This window comes from Homo sapiens, chromosome 1, assembly GCF_000001405.40.
Source record: "Homo sapiens chromosome 1, GRCh38.p14 Primary Assembly".
Classification (NCBI taxonomy): Eukaryota; Metazoa; Chordata; class Mammalia; order Primates; family Hominidae; genus Homo; species Homo sapiens.
The window spans coordinates 119,083,488-119,098,255 of record NC_000001.11 but is presented as its reverse complement, the minus strand read 5'-3'; the positions used below and the strand labels follow the sequence as shown (position 1 = coordinate 119,098,255).

At 38.5% G+C, this 14,768-nt stretch overlaps 1 protein-coding gene and 1 pseudogene across 12 annotated transcripts in view; both read left to right on the top strand.

The window, feature by feature from the left end:
- Positions 1-14,768, top strand: part of WARS2 (tryptophanyl tRNA synthetase 2, mitochondrial) — a 109,457-nt gene that overhangs the window by 42,417 nt on the left and 52,272 nt on the right. The window lies entirely within an intron of this gene.
- RBMX2P3 (RBMX2 pseudogene 3) lies at positions 12,256-14,051 on the top strand (annotated as a pseudogene).

Genomic DNA, 14,768 nt, shown 5'->3' with positions numbered 1-14,768 from the left:
TTGTTTTGAGACGGTGTCTCGCTCTGCTGCCCTGGTTGGAGTGCAGTGGCACGATCTTGGCTCACTGCAACCTCCACCTCCTGGGTTCAAGCGATTCTTCTGCCTCAGCCTCCCAAGTAGCTGGGACTACAGGTCTGTGCCACCATGCTCGGCTAATTTTTGTATTTTTAGTAGAGACGGGGTTTCACCATATTGGCCAGGCTGGTCTCGAACTCCTGACCTTGTGATATGCCCGCCTCAGCCTCCCAAAGTGCTGAGATTACTGTTCTGATAGTTGTAGGTATTGTTACCTGAAAGATGGCCAGCTGGGATAGGCAGTCTGAGAAGGGATAATTTGAAAATTTTCCCTACTCATCTTGGGAAATGGCCTGCCTCTATCTTCATCCATCATGGGGACTCTGAGTGTCATGGGATTTAAGACGAGACTTCAGCTCCTGCATTCTATAAGCCTCATGTAGTATTCATTTCTACTTCATTGACATGCATATATTGAATCTCCGCTCTGTTGGTGTTAGGGATAACAGCATGGTTCTTTCCCTCGAGGATTTCACTGGCTGGCGAGGGTAGTGGACATGTAGGAAAAGTAAGTTACAGTACAACTATGTGCTATAATAGAGGGAGGACAAAGCATTGTAGTTGCTTACAGGAGCAAGTGACTCATCTTGTCCTGGGGATTTGGAGAGTGCTCCACAAATGTGGTAACAGCTGCACCAGGTCTTAAAAGATATATTGAAATTTGTTAGGTCAAGAAAGGGATTCCAGGCAGAGAGAATTGCAAGTGCAAAGTCTTGTAAGTTAGCAAGAGTATGGAAGTAAAAGAAGTATACAATTCATGGAGGGGAATGGTAGAAGAAAAAGGCTGAAAAAGTAGACTTGATTCTTATTAACCCAGTAGTGCCGGTGGGGTGGGAGGTCAGGAAAAAGTTAAAATTGTCAGAAATATGAGAGAACTTGAAAAATACTTTGTTATATAAAACATCTGATCGGTAATTGGGCTATTTTTTCTGCTACAGTATTTTTAAAAATCACACATTTCTCATCAAGATAGAAAATAAACAAAGAAAATCACTTCATTATAACTCGACTGATGACATTTCAATAGCATTGTTTTTACCCAGCTGGGGTTCCACCTGTCCACACAAAACAGCTCTGTTCCACTTGGTACATACATTTCTCACTGTCCTTTACTGTTTGATGGTCCAGACATGAGCATTTACAGTTACCTTATAATTATTTGATAGTAACAGCAAAACAAAAGTCTGTGTTATTTTTCCCAAAAATGTCCAGGAGTTTACCAGTTGAGGCAAGCAATGGTATCACGTGTGGTACCAGGTATTTTATCATTAATAACTTTTCATGGTACAGTAATTTGTCATCTAAGTAGATGAAAAGTAATGCACTTTGAAGATACATTTTCAAACCACGTGTTTGAAATTGTCAAAAATGAGAGCGCTATTTGATTTTTTAAATGGAAACATTGTAATTGTACATATTTATGGGGTACAATTTAATATTTCAATACATATGTATATAGTATAAAAAGCCATATTCTATTCATGCTAATTATTTTATCTACTAAAATGTAGTATAGAGAATAATTATGTACAACATTTAAAAATTTCCAGTTGGGGAAGGAGGAGTCTCAAAAACTCATAAGTAAATTGCATTTAAAATTATTACAGTTTGAGTGTGAGTGTTGATTTTATGGTGAAGCTATTGAAAAATTATAATTTATTGACTTAAAGCATATTTGCAAAAGTAGAATATACCCATCTAAAGATATAAAATATATAAAAATAAAATCAGAATTGAAAGTGTATTGTTTACTGCAAAAGGGATATGGTAAATATTTCGCTGGTGAATAAAGTCAACTTGTTAGAGTTGTTAGAAAAGCAAAATAAAATATTAAGGAGAACATTATTTTGACCTTTACATTTACAATTGATTACTACAAGAATGCTCATATTCCAAATGATATAATTGACATTAGAGAAACAAAACTTTGTTGCTGCATTACTTTACAATTGAAATACATGTTTCCTCAGTGTATTAAACAATACATTATAAGCTAACTTAATAACAATTTTTAAATTGTCATCATTTATGTAAGCAATCAGGAAAGGAAAGGCTCTCTTAATTAAAGAAATGTCCTTGAATTTTATTAGGCACAATAAGACAACTGACTAGGAGTGTAGTTATTTTATAAACATACACAGACACATAGACACACACAGAGCAAGTGCAAATTAGAACCATGATGGTGCCACTAAACATGAGTGGAAGATTCAATGTGATGGTAAAAATTTAGAGGAAGAACTAAGTACTCGATTGTGTCAAATTCTAAGGTTTACCAGTGAGTTTGAGAAACTAAAAACTCTTCAGTGTCCCCCAATACTGACACTTCCTTGGTAACATCCTCTCTGCATCTCTATATAGATTGCCAGTTTCTTTACAACTTGTATAAGAGGCTCAAAGATATGACATACAGGAAGCTATGTGGTATGTCAGAAATATATTGGACTACTGGCTGGGTGCAGTGGCTTGCTCCTGTAATCCCAGCACTTTGGGAGGCCGAGGCAGGTGGATCACGAGGTCAGGAGTTCAAGACCAGCCTGGCCAAGATGGTGAAACCCTGTCTGTACTAAAAATACAAAAATTAGCCGGGCGCGGTGGCAGGCGCCTGTAATCCCAGCTACTTGGGAGGCTGAGGCAGGAGAATCCCTTGAACCCAGGGGTGGCAGGCAGTGTGGAGGTTGCAGTGAGCCGAGATCGCCACTGCACTCCAGCATGGGTGACAGAGTGAGACTCCATCTCAAAAAAAAAGAAGTCTTTTGTTCACAGTGAAAGGAATGTTGACTTTGAAATTATGGATTTATATTAATGTTACTATAAACCAATGGGAATGGTAATTTTTAAACAAACTTGCTAAATATTGAGAGACTAAACTACTAAGTTAATAAATTATATATAGCAGTGTAGCTTTCTCTCTAGATGGTGTCTCACAATGGATTTCTGTTGCTTGACTATTTTCTTAGTGAATATTTAAACTAAGGTAGTGACTGAGATTTGGTGATCTGGTTAAGTATTTTGAAACACATTTTGAATAATATAGCTTAGTGTTAACAGGGAATTAAATATGATTTTTTTCTTACTCATTTCACCTTCCCTATACTGTATATTTGGAATCGATCATAAAAAAAACCTCCAAAAGAAAATTAATCTGTATAGGACTATTTGTTCCCCAACCTTATAGGCTGTCATTCAGAGCTTCCAGAGATTATTGAGATAATCTTTTAAACATAAAGAGGGATGGTGAATTAATGATTGGCTGATGATACTGGTTTGCAAATTTGAATTTTTCTCTCTTTTTTTTTCCTAAAGTTATTTATTACGTACAAGAATTCTTTGTAAAGGAGGAAATGGAGAGATGTAGGTCAGAGGATGCAAAGTAGCAGATATGTAGGATGAACAAGTCTAGAGATCTAAATACAACATGAGGACTATAGGTAATAAAATTGTACTGTATTTGGGATTGATATTAAATCAGAATTTAGCTGCTTTTGACATAAAAACAAAAGAAATTGATAACTATGTGGGATGATGGATATATTAATTTACTTTACTATAGTAACCTTTTTGGTATCTGTATATATCCCATAACATCATGCTGTATACCTTAAATATATACAATAACATTTATTTTTTAGAAGTTTTTATAAAGAGCTTCAAAGAAAATTTAAAGACATATTTACTTGTTTTTTTAAAGTAAAAGAAATAGTTTACTGCTTATTTAAAAAAAAAACAAACACATATCTCAAAACCGTTTGGGCTGGGGTAATTATGCCAAAAAACAATCTCAAGATTTCAAAGGGGGAAAAAAAAGTCCTTTTGGAGAGCAATAATTGATCATGGAAGTTGAAATAGCGCATGCCATCCATACTGCTTCATCTGGAAAATGGTATACAATCAATATTTTTTTTTACCAAAGGAAATAAATATTTGCTAAGTTTAAATTTACATTTTTCTGAGAGATTACAGCATAATGAAAATTTCAGAGCTACTGTTTAAATGGAAGAAATAAATGGAGCAAAGTCAACTATGTGCAGTAATTTTATGGAATCAATGCAAATGTGATCCTAGAACTTTGATCCCAGAACAAAGTAACAGCAACTTCATCTATGATTATAGCCCCTTAGTTGATGGCTGTTTGTTTATTTGACATGGTCTATGTAATAATGCTTCCTGCCTCTCAGCACTACTACCTACATACAGTTGTGGTTTGGTCAGTCACCACAACCCGTGCAGAATACTTTTATTCTACTCTGCATTGCCCCAGGTCTTGCACAGTCTTGGAAGAGAAGGCCAGTGTCCTGGATGTGAATTTCTGACAGAAATAGTAACCAGATTACAGATCCTGAACAACTGACCTTACTTACCTTATCAGTTTAAGACATTAGTCAAGTGTGCTATTAATAGTTTTCTAAGGCTGCCATAACCAAGTACCACAAACTGGGTGGCCTAAAAGAACAGAAATGTATTCTTTCACAGTTCTGGAGGCTAGCAGTCTGACACTGAGGTGTTGGCAGGGCATGCTTCTTAAGACTCTAAGGAAGAACCCTTCCTTGTCTCTTCCTAGCCGCTGGTGGCTCTTCGCAATCCTTGGGATTTTCTTGAATTGTAGCTGTATCACTCCAATCTCTGCCTCCATTGTCATGTGGCCCTTTTCCCTCTATGTGTCTGTGTGTCTTCTCTTCTTTTAAGGACACAAGTCATTGTATTTATGACTTCATCTTAACTGATTATATCTGCGAAGATCCTATTTACAAATAAAGTTACATTCTGAAGTTCTAGGTAGACATGAATTTTGGAGGGACATAATTCAACCTACTACACCAAGCAATGGAAGTACACTAGAAAAATGGCATGTAATTTTTTTTATGTTTTAGGCTTTAAATTATAGATCCTAAAGATTACTCAGTGGTTTTTCAGTGAATATGATACTTACTCTAGTGTTAGGATAATCAATGAAAAATAGCATGTTATAAAATGTTAAATGTAAAACTTGAACCCTATATTTCTCATAAGACTTCTCACTTGCTTAATTAATGTTGATTCATGGGGATAATTGCCCTTACTATGTCTAAGTAATCTACATATATTTGAAGTCAGATTATGAAGGATTTTATACACTAAATTAAGGGTTTGGATTTGACTCTGTGAAAAAGGAAGAATCAGTGGAGATTCATTACTTTTAAATGCTGGTTCAGGTAATAGTGTAGAAGATTAAAAAACTCAGAAAAAAGCTATTGAAACAGCACAGGTGAGATGATTGTGGTTTAGACTACATTGATGGAGATGGAGAAATGAAATTGTATTGAGAAACATCCCTGATGATTTAGTAATTGATTAGATGATGAAGATAGCTAATATTTATTAAGCATTTTCTATGTGCCAGGCACCAATCTAAACACTTTTTATGTATCAATTTGTTTAATTCTTGCAATTCTCCTATAAATCAGTACTATTAAAATTTTTATTTCAGGTGATGAAACTGAGGCACAAATACTTGCCAAAGATCACATAGCTAGTAATTGGAGGAGGCAGGATTTGAACCAACAGAATCTGGTAAGGGAAAGGAAGGAGTTGGGGATGAATCTTAAGGTTAGGAGACTAGGTAGATGGTTGTATCATTAGCCAGAATTGAGAATACAGTGCAGAATCGGGGAGAGTTGACCTGAAGGTCATGAGTCAATAGATTTAGTTTGGGATATAGTATTAAGTTTAAGAGCTGCTCGTGGGAAGTAAGACAGGTGATAGTAAGTACTAAAATAATATTTGATGTTAATTAATTTTTACATTAATTTCCTTAATAAAGATAATGTCATTTTAAATGTATACATTATGCAGCTATGGTAAAACATGAAGAATTGGTGACGCTGGCTACTAGTCTTGAAAAGCAAGAGTGCTTTAACAGGGTGCAATTCCTTGTGATAACGTATTCTCATATCATCCCTACATTAAGTTAGGTAGGCAAACAACTATCTTACTTGGAACTTTGTGAATGTTTTGGTCAGTCAGAGAAAGTAGAGGAATTCCTAAGTTTGTACCCAGCCGGTCATTAGTGAATTTACTTCATTACAAACTCTCTTTATATTCTCACTCTTTGATCCACGCATCCCACCAAATATACCCCTGTGTTGCTCTAACCACGGGGAATTCTAGATTCTAGTTCAAACCGGGCAGTTTATGGGAACTGCTTTTGTTGAAATGATTAAATAAAGAAATGCCTGTGAATTATCCTTCCGAAGCACTGCCTGTTTTCTGTGTCATTTTGGTCTCATTAATCAGTGTTGCAGCCAGGCAGACACTGTGCTGTGTATTTTACTGTCCTCAGCACAGCGGCTTCTACGTCTCTGCTCCCAGGCCGACACATTGGGGAAAAAGAGAGAGGGAAACCATCAATCTTCCCAGTTGCACATGTCAGCAGTGATTCCTTCCCCCTTCCTGTTGGCTGTCTCTCTCACCACCTGTGTTTAGAATTAGCACTGAAGCTGCTGCCCAGATGAATAAGAACCACTGTCCTTGTCACCTGCCCTGGTATGGGCCACCACTTCTCAATGAAACAAGTATATCAAGCAGTCAGTTATCTTTAGCGTGAGCAGTGTAAGAGAATCACACACCCCTTAGAAGTTTATTATAACATAAAATTAAAATTTTAGGCCATACATTCTAGTGAATCAAAGGGGTAAAACAAATAATTTCTTGAGTGCCTTGCTATCTTCTCATAATCTCCCTCTGAAGTACATATGGCTGAAGTTAATCGACCTGGGTTCAAGTCATGGCTCCACTATTTACTAGGTATGGACCACTCATTTAACCCTTCTGTGCCTCAGTTCCTTCATCCTTGTGAAACAAGTACCTCAGAGTTTTTATGAGGATCAAATGAGATAATACATTTATAGCTCTTGCTATAATGCTTCCCATTTAGTAAGCACTCAATAAATGTTAGCTATTATTACCATTAACCTCAATGTCCAAATAATAAAACTGAGTTTCAGAGAGGTTACATAATTTGCAAAAGGCGCTAGGAGGCATAGAAGGATTTTGAACCTAGCACTGTCTGATCCTCAAAACTCAAGTCCTTTAGATTACACTACATTGTTTCTATTTTAGTTTCATTTTACAAATTACTTAATATCTGAACTTAATAAATCATTTAACATTGTCTGTCTTAATTTCCCATTATTTAAAATGAAAATGGTAATAACCAACATTCCTGTTAGTATGAGACTCTTTTAGTTACATATCAACTAATTCAATCAGACCACCATATGCCGAAAAACTAGGCCGATTTTTCTTTTGAGACAGGATCTTGCTCTGTTGCCCAGGCTGGAGTATGGTGGCACAATCATTGCTCACTGCAGCCTCGATGTCCAGGCTCAAGCAGTTCTCCCACCTCAGCCTCTTGAGTAGCTGGTACTACAGGCATGTGCTACCATGCCTGGCTAATTTTCCTGTATTTATTTGTGTATTTTTATTTTTTTCTGGTAGAGACAGGATCTCCCTACGTTGACCAGGCTGATTTCAAACTCCTGGCTCAAGTGATCCTCCCACATCGGCCTCCCAAAGTATTGGCATTACAGGTGTGAGCCACTGCATCTGGCCCAGGCTTATTTTTAAAATTTGGTGACAGAAAAATGACATGCGTTTTTTAAAAAGTTAAACAATACAAAAAGTCAAAAAGGAAATCATTACTCCCATTTCCTTGTATAACCACTAGTAAGTTAGGTATGTAGGCTGTCTTCCTTGTCAGCATTTATCTATTTAACAAATGTCTATATAGAACCTTCAGGGGAGTACTGTCATTCCTCCCATTTTACAGCTAAGGAAGTTCCGTGATTTGTACAAGGAAGCACAGCCAGTGCACAAGAAGGCTGGCACTGGACTCACATGTCTGACTCTAGATTTGGGCTCCTCACCTCCACCCTGTGCCAATTCTCAGTACTTAACAGGACCTACCTTCGTATCTATTCCATAGTATTTCATTATATAAAAAGAAAACTATAACTTATTTAGTATTTCCCCTAGTGATGGACATTAGTTGCTTATAATTCTTTTTTTTTTTTCAACTTTAAAGTTCAAGGCTACATGTGCAGGATATACAGAGTTGTTACATAGATAAATGTGTGCCATGGTGGTTTGCTACACAGATCATCCTGTCACTTAAGTATTAAGCCCAGCATCCATTAGCTATTCTTCCTGATGCTCTCCCTCTCCAACCTGACAGGCCTCAGTGTGTGGTGTTCCCCACCATGTGTCCATGTGTTCTCATCATTCAGCTCCCACTTATAAGTGAGAACATGTGGTATTTGGTTTTCTGTTCCTGGGTTAGTTTGCTGAGAATCATGTCTTCCAACTCCATCTATGTCCCTGCAAAGGATATGATCTCATTCCTTTCTATGGCTGCATAGAATTTCATGGTGTATATGTACCAGTATAATTCTTTTGTAATTAAATGATCAGGGGGAACACCAGATCTTCTTACATTCTTGTGTGAGTATTTCTATAGGACAGATTTCCATACATTGAATGGTTGGGTCAAAATAAAATAAAATTTTGATCTCCAGATATGGTTAGATTACTGAGAGCTTATTCTGTGCCAGGGTTATACTAATAAACTTGTCACAGTCCTCCGAACCACCCTCTGAGATAGGTACTATTATTATCCCTATTTTGTACATGTTCAACGCCACATAAGTAACTGGGCAAAGTCTTGAATCCCGGCAGTGTGGCACTAGATTCTGCTTCTCAGCCATGGTTTATAACCAAGCTAGTTATCACAATCATATTTTAGTGCTTGGTTTTGTCATTCTTCGAACTTACTATAAGGCTGAGTTAACAACCTGAGCTGACAGAAGGGTCTGATGATGCAAATGTGGTTGGAACACCCTGTAGTCTTATATCAGTCTACAGGTTGGATGAGAAAGGGAGCCATGATTAGCTGGAACATGAGACTTATTTGCTCTTGGAAGAGGTGAAATAACAGTCAAAAAAATTCCCTTTTTTGTAAACTATTTTATGCCAGGAAACTAACTTTAGAAATGTGTTTTCCTGTTTGGATTGTGAGTACTTTGTAAGAAATTCACACTGTCTCTCAAAGGTTCAGAACACTTGAGATAGGGAATTATATCATACATTATATATAAGAATTACTGGCATCTCAGCTTCACTTAGCCAAGGCCACATGATATTAGTCCAGGTCTTGGCCAACCAACTGAGCTAACCATGAGACCCACTTACAGTGCTCGAGTGTTGAATCCAGACTTTCTGGTAGGAAAGATCAGAAGGAAGTAGGGAGTTTGCCAAGCAGGGACATGGGTAAAAACAGTATCTCTATGCAGAGATAATTTTGTCTCCAATCCATTACTGATGTTGAACACTCCTCAGTGGTGTTACTTCCTTGGTGATGTCCAGGCTATATATGCTTTCTGAATCCCTGAGCCATAGAGATTTATGGAATTGGACTTTGCCAAGTAAGTCTACCTAGCCATCGAAGATAGCATGCCTACTTGTTGTCATAGATGTCTTCTCTCACCAGCATAGAGGCTACGACCACAGCGTCATAATCTTCTGTCCTTCGTGGCTGCCGCATGTAATATCCAAACTGCTGGGAGCCAAAGGGGCCTCTGCCTATACATGATTAAATCATTGCATTAGAGATTTCATTACCTTGAAATGTAAATTACTAGCAAGTGAACTTACTCTTCACATTTTTAGTCCTTTTATTTGTGTGTGTGTGTGTGTGTGTGTGTGTGTGTGTTTCAGTGTTTCCTAGCAGGTTGGCAGCTTTGGAAGATAATTATGTAGCAGTTGGCTTAGAACAGTGGTTTCTCATTCATGGCTTCATGTTAGAATCACCTGGGGAGCTTTTAAAACTCCCATTGCTCATGCCAAATCCCAGACTGATTAAATCAGAATCTCTGGGGGTGGTGCCCAGGCATCAGTATTTTTTAAAGCTCCCAAGTGATTGCAGTGCAGCCAAGATTGAGAACTGTTGGCTTAGAAGGGACCTTCTCTTTTTCATTCATAATGTTTTTATCTGTACCTCATTTTCTGCAGTTGAAGTGAATTTTAAGACTAGATTATTGTTGCCCAAAAACCTCGCTCAAACTTTAGCATACATCAGAATCACTGAAGAGGCTTGTTAAAGCCCGGGCCGCATAAATTTTCTCATTTCTTCTTCTGGGATAAGCCCCGCTCTTAGAATTCCTGATTTAGTAGGTCTGGGTTGGAACCCAAGACTGCATTTTTAACAAGTTCCCAAGCCATGATGCTACTGCTGGTACTGGAAACACACTTTGAGAGCCTCTGCTGTAATCCCTTCCTCTCACCTTCTTTCTGCTCTTTACTTTTCCACCAGCAGTGGCCAGGGCTGCTGCCTCTGACAGTCCATACAATATCAATAAGAAAGGCAATTAATGCATGAGGATGTTTAACCTGTTACTCCACCTCAAAGTAATCATACAATCTAACTAAAAACAATTTACTGTATATGCAAATACAACCTCCTCTGCATGCATAATTGCTCCCCTTAAGTCCTTTCTAATACAAAATCAAAGCCACCACTGAATAGATTTCTGGTGTCCAAAATGGACCTCGGATTCCACTTTCCCACAGAAACAATTTTATGGATGCTGGTTAGGTACAGCTGAAATCATGCTGTTAAAACCATTCTTCAAGAATATTGTAGGCTCAGAGAGACTTTGATGGTCTGCTTCCCATTTAAAGAACCCAATTTCTGAGTTTCAAAGAACCAATTTTTAAACAAACTCTTAGAACGTAACTTGTTTAACAATTGCCTGCAACTGAAACATATGACTTATTTTCTTTATAGTTATTTTACCCTTTACATTTGGAACTAAAGTATGGGAGAAAGGATTTGTCATGATTCAGTTAACATTTATAAGGGGACCACAACATACCTGGCACTGTGCTATTTACTGGGTATATAAAGAAGGAAAAGATAGTCCCTGCCCTAGAAGAGCTCATATTCTAGGCGGGAAAATATATCTATGGAGCAAATAAAAAAATATTTACCAAGTTATCAATGTGATATGTGCAATAATGAAGAATTGATGAAGGAGGCATCTGTTCTTCTGAGTGAGAGAGAGAAAAAGAGACATTGGTGGTGTGTGTGGTGGAGCATGGAACAGGTGTGGGTGTGTTTGGTAGGAGGAAGAAGCATGTTTAAGAGTCTCAGAATCAGTGAGAGATTGTTAGGGCTTAATGACCAAGGAGAGTTCCCCACGCAGAAAAGAGGTGAAAGGGCATTCTAGGATGGTGGAAGAGTGTGAATGCAGAGAGGAGTACTCTACAGAAGAAAGGCAAGTAGTCAGCTGAGTTCCCCAGGTGGTGTGATTGGAGAATGACTGGGAAGGGCATTGACCACCCCACAAAGTCAGAGTCTTGTCTCAGAGGAAGAAATGAGAAGAGTTATGCTAAGTCAGTATATGTGATATTTGCACCTCTATCCCATATTTTAGTATCTTTCTTCTCCTGTATATTCCCCAATACCCTGAGGAAGACAGTTTCAATTTCAACAAAATATTAATACTTTGAAAATGTCTGAAAGCGGTTTTCAGACTGTGCTCTGAGAAGCCCCCTTTGTGCTTGACTGGGGTGAGGTCAAAAGAGCAGTCAGGGACCCACCAGAGCTCCCCCACTGACTCTGCTATTATCCATCCACCTCTCAAGCTTTTCTTTGGACAATTCCACTTATTAGGCACATCTAAGAATATTATATTTGAAAAAGGGTACACAGTTAGAAAAGTATTAAAACTAGTGTAATTAATCCTCGCATGTTTAGTAACAGTCTGACGACTTGGTGTGGATAGCCACATATCTCAGCTGCTGGCCAAAGGATGAATGTTCTCAGATAATCAGCTGAAGAGGGGAATCAGGCAGGTGTCAATGTGGATGTGTGAGCAGTGATAATTGTTGGTATGATAAGCCTTTAGTTGGCCACAAGAGATAATGAAAATATCATATACCCCCAGAATGAACACTTGAAAATCAATGTTAGAATTTTCTTATGAAGGCTGGGTGCAATTGCTCACACCTGTCATCCCAGAACTTTGGGAGGCCAAGGCAAGAGGATCACTTAAGGCTAGGAGTTTGAGACCAATCTGGGCAAGATAGCAAGACCTTGCCTCTACGAGAAATTTAAAAAATTAGCCAGGGTATGTGCCACACTGCCTTGCCTGGGCACTGATACCTGAACGCTGAGTTTGGGCCCGTGGAGATGAACCCTTTAACTAAGGTGAAGCTGATCAATGAGCTGAATGAGCGAGAGGTCCAGCTTGGGGTGGCCGATAAGGTGTCCTGGCACTCCGAGTACAAGGACAGTGCCTGGATCTTCCTGGGAGGGCTTCCTTATGAGCTGACTGAAGGGGACATCATCTGTGTGTTCTCACAGTATGGGGAGATTGTTAACATTAATCTCATGTGGGACAAGAAGACTGGGAAATCCAAAGGATTCTGTTTCCTCTGCTATGAAGACCAGAGGAGCACAATTCTGGCCATTGACAATTTTAATGGGATCAAGATCAAAGGAAGAACTATCCGAGTGGATCATGTGTCTAACTATTGCGTTCCTAAGGACTCAGAAGAAATGGATGATGTGACCAAAGAGCTCCAGGAGAAGGGCTGTGGGGCTCGTACCCCCTCACCAAGTTTGTCTGAGAGCTCTGAAGATGAAAAACCAACAAAAAAGCGCAAAAAAAGACAAAAAGGAAAAAAAGAAAAAGAGACAACTGACTGGGAGGTACAGGCAGAGCAACCATCCTCTTCGTCACCCAGAAGCAAGACAGTAAAGGAAGAGGACAACCCTGGCCCTAAGAAGCACAGCAGCAAGAACTAGGAGAGAGCTCAGAAGTCAGTGCCCAGGGAGGGGCGGAAGCTCCCCAAGGCCAGGACTGCCTACTCTGGTTGGGCAGAGAACCGAGAGAGGGAGCTGAAGAAGGGGAAACCCAAGCACGAGCACAGGTCCTCAAGCAGGAGGGAGGCAAGAGAAGAAAAGACCAGGGATAAGGACAGAGGGCGGAGCTCAGGCACACTTTCTAGCCCGTACAACGGGCGTTCTGAAGGGCGTAGTCATAGAAGTAGAGGTAGGAGCTGAGATAAATCCCATAGGCATAAAAGGACCCAGCGCTGCCGGGAGCAGGAGTCTTTGAATTCCAGTGACTGTAGGCGTCACTGAAGACTGTTCAGCTGCTCGGTAGATTTGGAAATAATTATGTTTTTTAAATGCAGTCAAATTCAGTTGGATTGTTACTATTTTTGTATCTAAAACTCCTGGGGCTGGATTCTTTTAACTCCTTGAGTATTAGAGTCATTGAGAGGGCTGCAGTTTCAACAGCTACATATCCTAGATATTCTTCGTACCATTCATTGTCCCTGAACCAGAGTACGTGCCCTGAATGTTGATTCATAAATATGGCTCTTGAACCCGTAGAACCAATTGAAGATGGAATTTTCAGGAAAGGGAAAATACCAGATAATTCCAGAATTCTAGTTTTGTGTTTGATGTTTAGAGCTCAGCATCGTGGGACCTTTCCAGTTACTCGGTTTGGACAGCTTGATGTGAATGAATGGGATAGGATTTTTAAGATCAACCAGCTCCATGCCCAAAACCTCCTGTTTAAAAAAATGTTTAATGTCTTTTCTTTTTCATTACAACTTTTTTGTTTGATTGGCCTCTTTCCAAGTTTTTTCCTTGCAACGTATTTATTATTTATTTGTATTGAGGTGAAATTCACATAACATAAAGTTAACCATTTTAAAGGGAACAATTCAGTGACATTTGGTACTAAACATCCACAATGTTGTGTAACCATCGCCTCTGTCTATTTCCAAAACATTTTTTATCATCCCAAAATGAAACCCTGTACCCATTAAACAAGAACTCTCCATTTCCTCCCTCCTCCCCATCCCTAGCAACCACCAACTGACTTCCTGTTTATGGGTTTGCCTATTCTGGATATTTCATATAAATAGAATTATACCAAAAAAAAAATTAGCCGACGTAGTTGTGTGTGCGTCTAGTCCCAGCTACTTGGGAGGGTGGGTGGACTGCTTGAGCCTAGGAGTTTGAGGCTGCAGTGAGCTCTGATCGTCCACAGTACTCCAGCCTGGGCAACAGAGAGACACTCTGTCTCAAAAAAAAAAAAAACATCGTATGAGGAAAAACTAAATTTTTAAAACATTTTATATCATTTTTTGTACTTTTAAAATTGTAGTGCTTCTTGATCGATTACCTGTACTTACTGTCCTGTTCAAGATAATAATATGCTGTGTTAGTTAGTATGTTATGGCAAGAATATGACACTTGCTGATTTGGTTTAGCAAGTAGTGTTATTAGGAATTAAAATATTTTGCACTACATTTAATTTTCTAATTATTTATGTCATGTTTAGATAATTGTTAATTTAGTTTTAAGCATCTAAGACAAAAAAAGACTTGCCTCCTTATTCTTTACTTACGTATAACCTTTGCATTTAAATATAGATTAGCTGCCCTGAGGTGATGATGTAATCCTTCCTGGGAGCCAAAGTGTCATGACTCTATATTTTATCATTTCTTCCTGCTGGGGAGACAGAAAAAAAGACCTGAAGAAAATAGCCCAAAGAGATGTTTAGGTACAAAAGAAATAACTACAGAAGAAAAGAACAGTATAAAATTAAAAACCTGGTGTCTTAGTTCATTTGTGC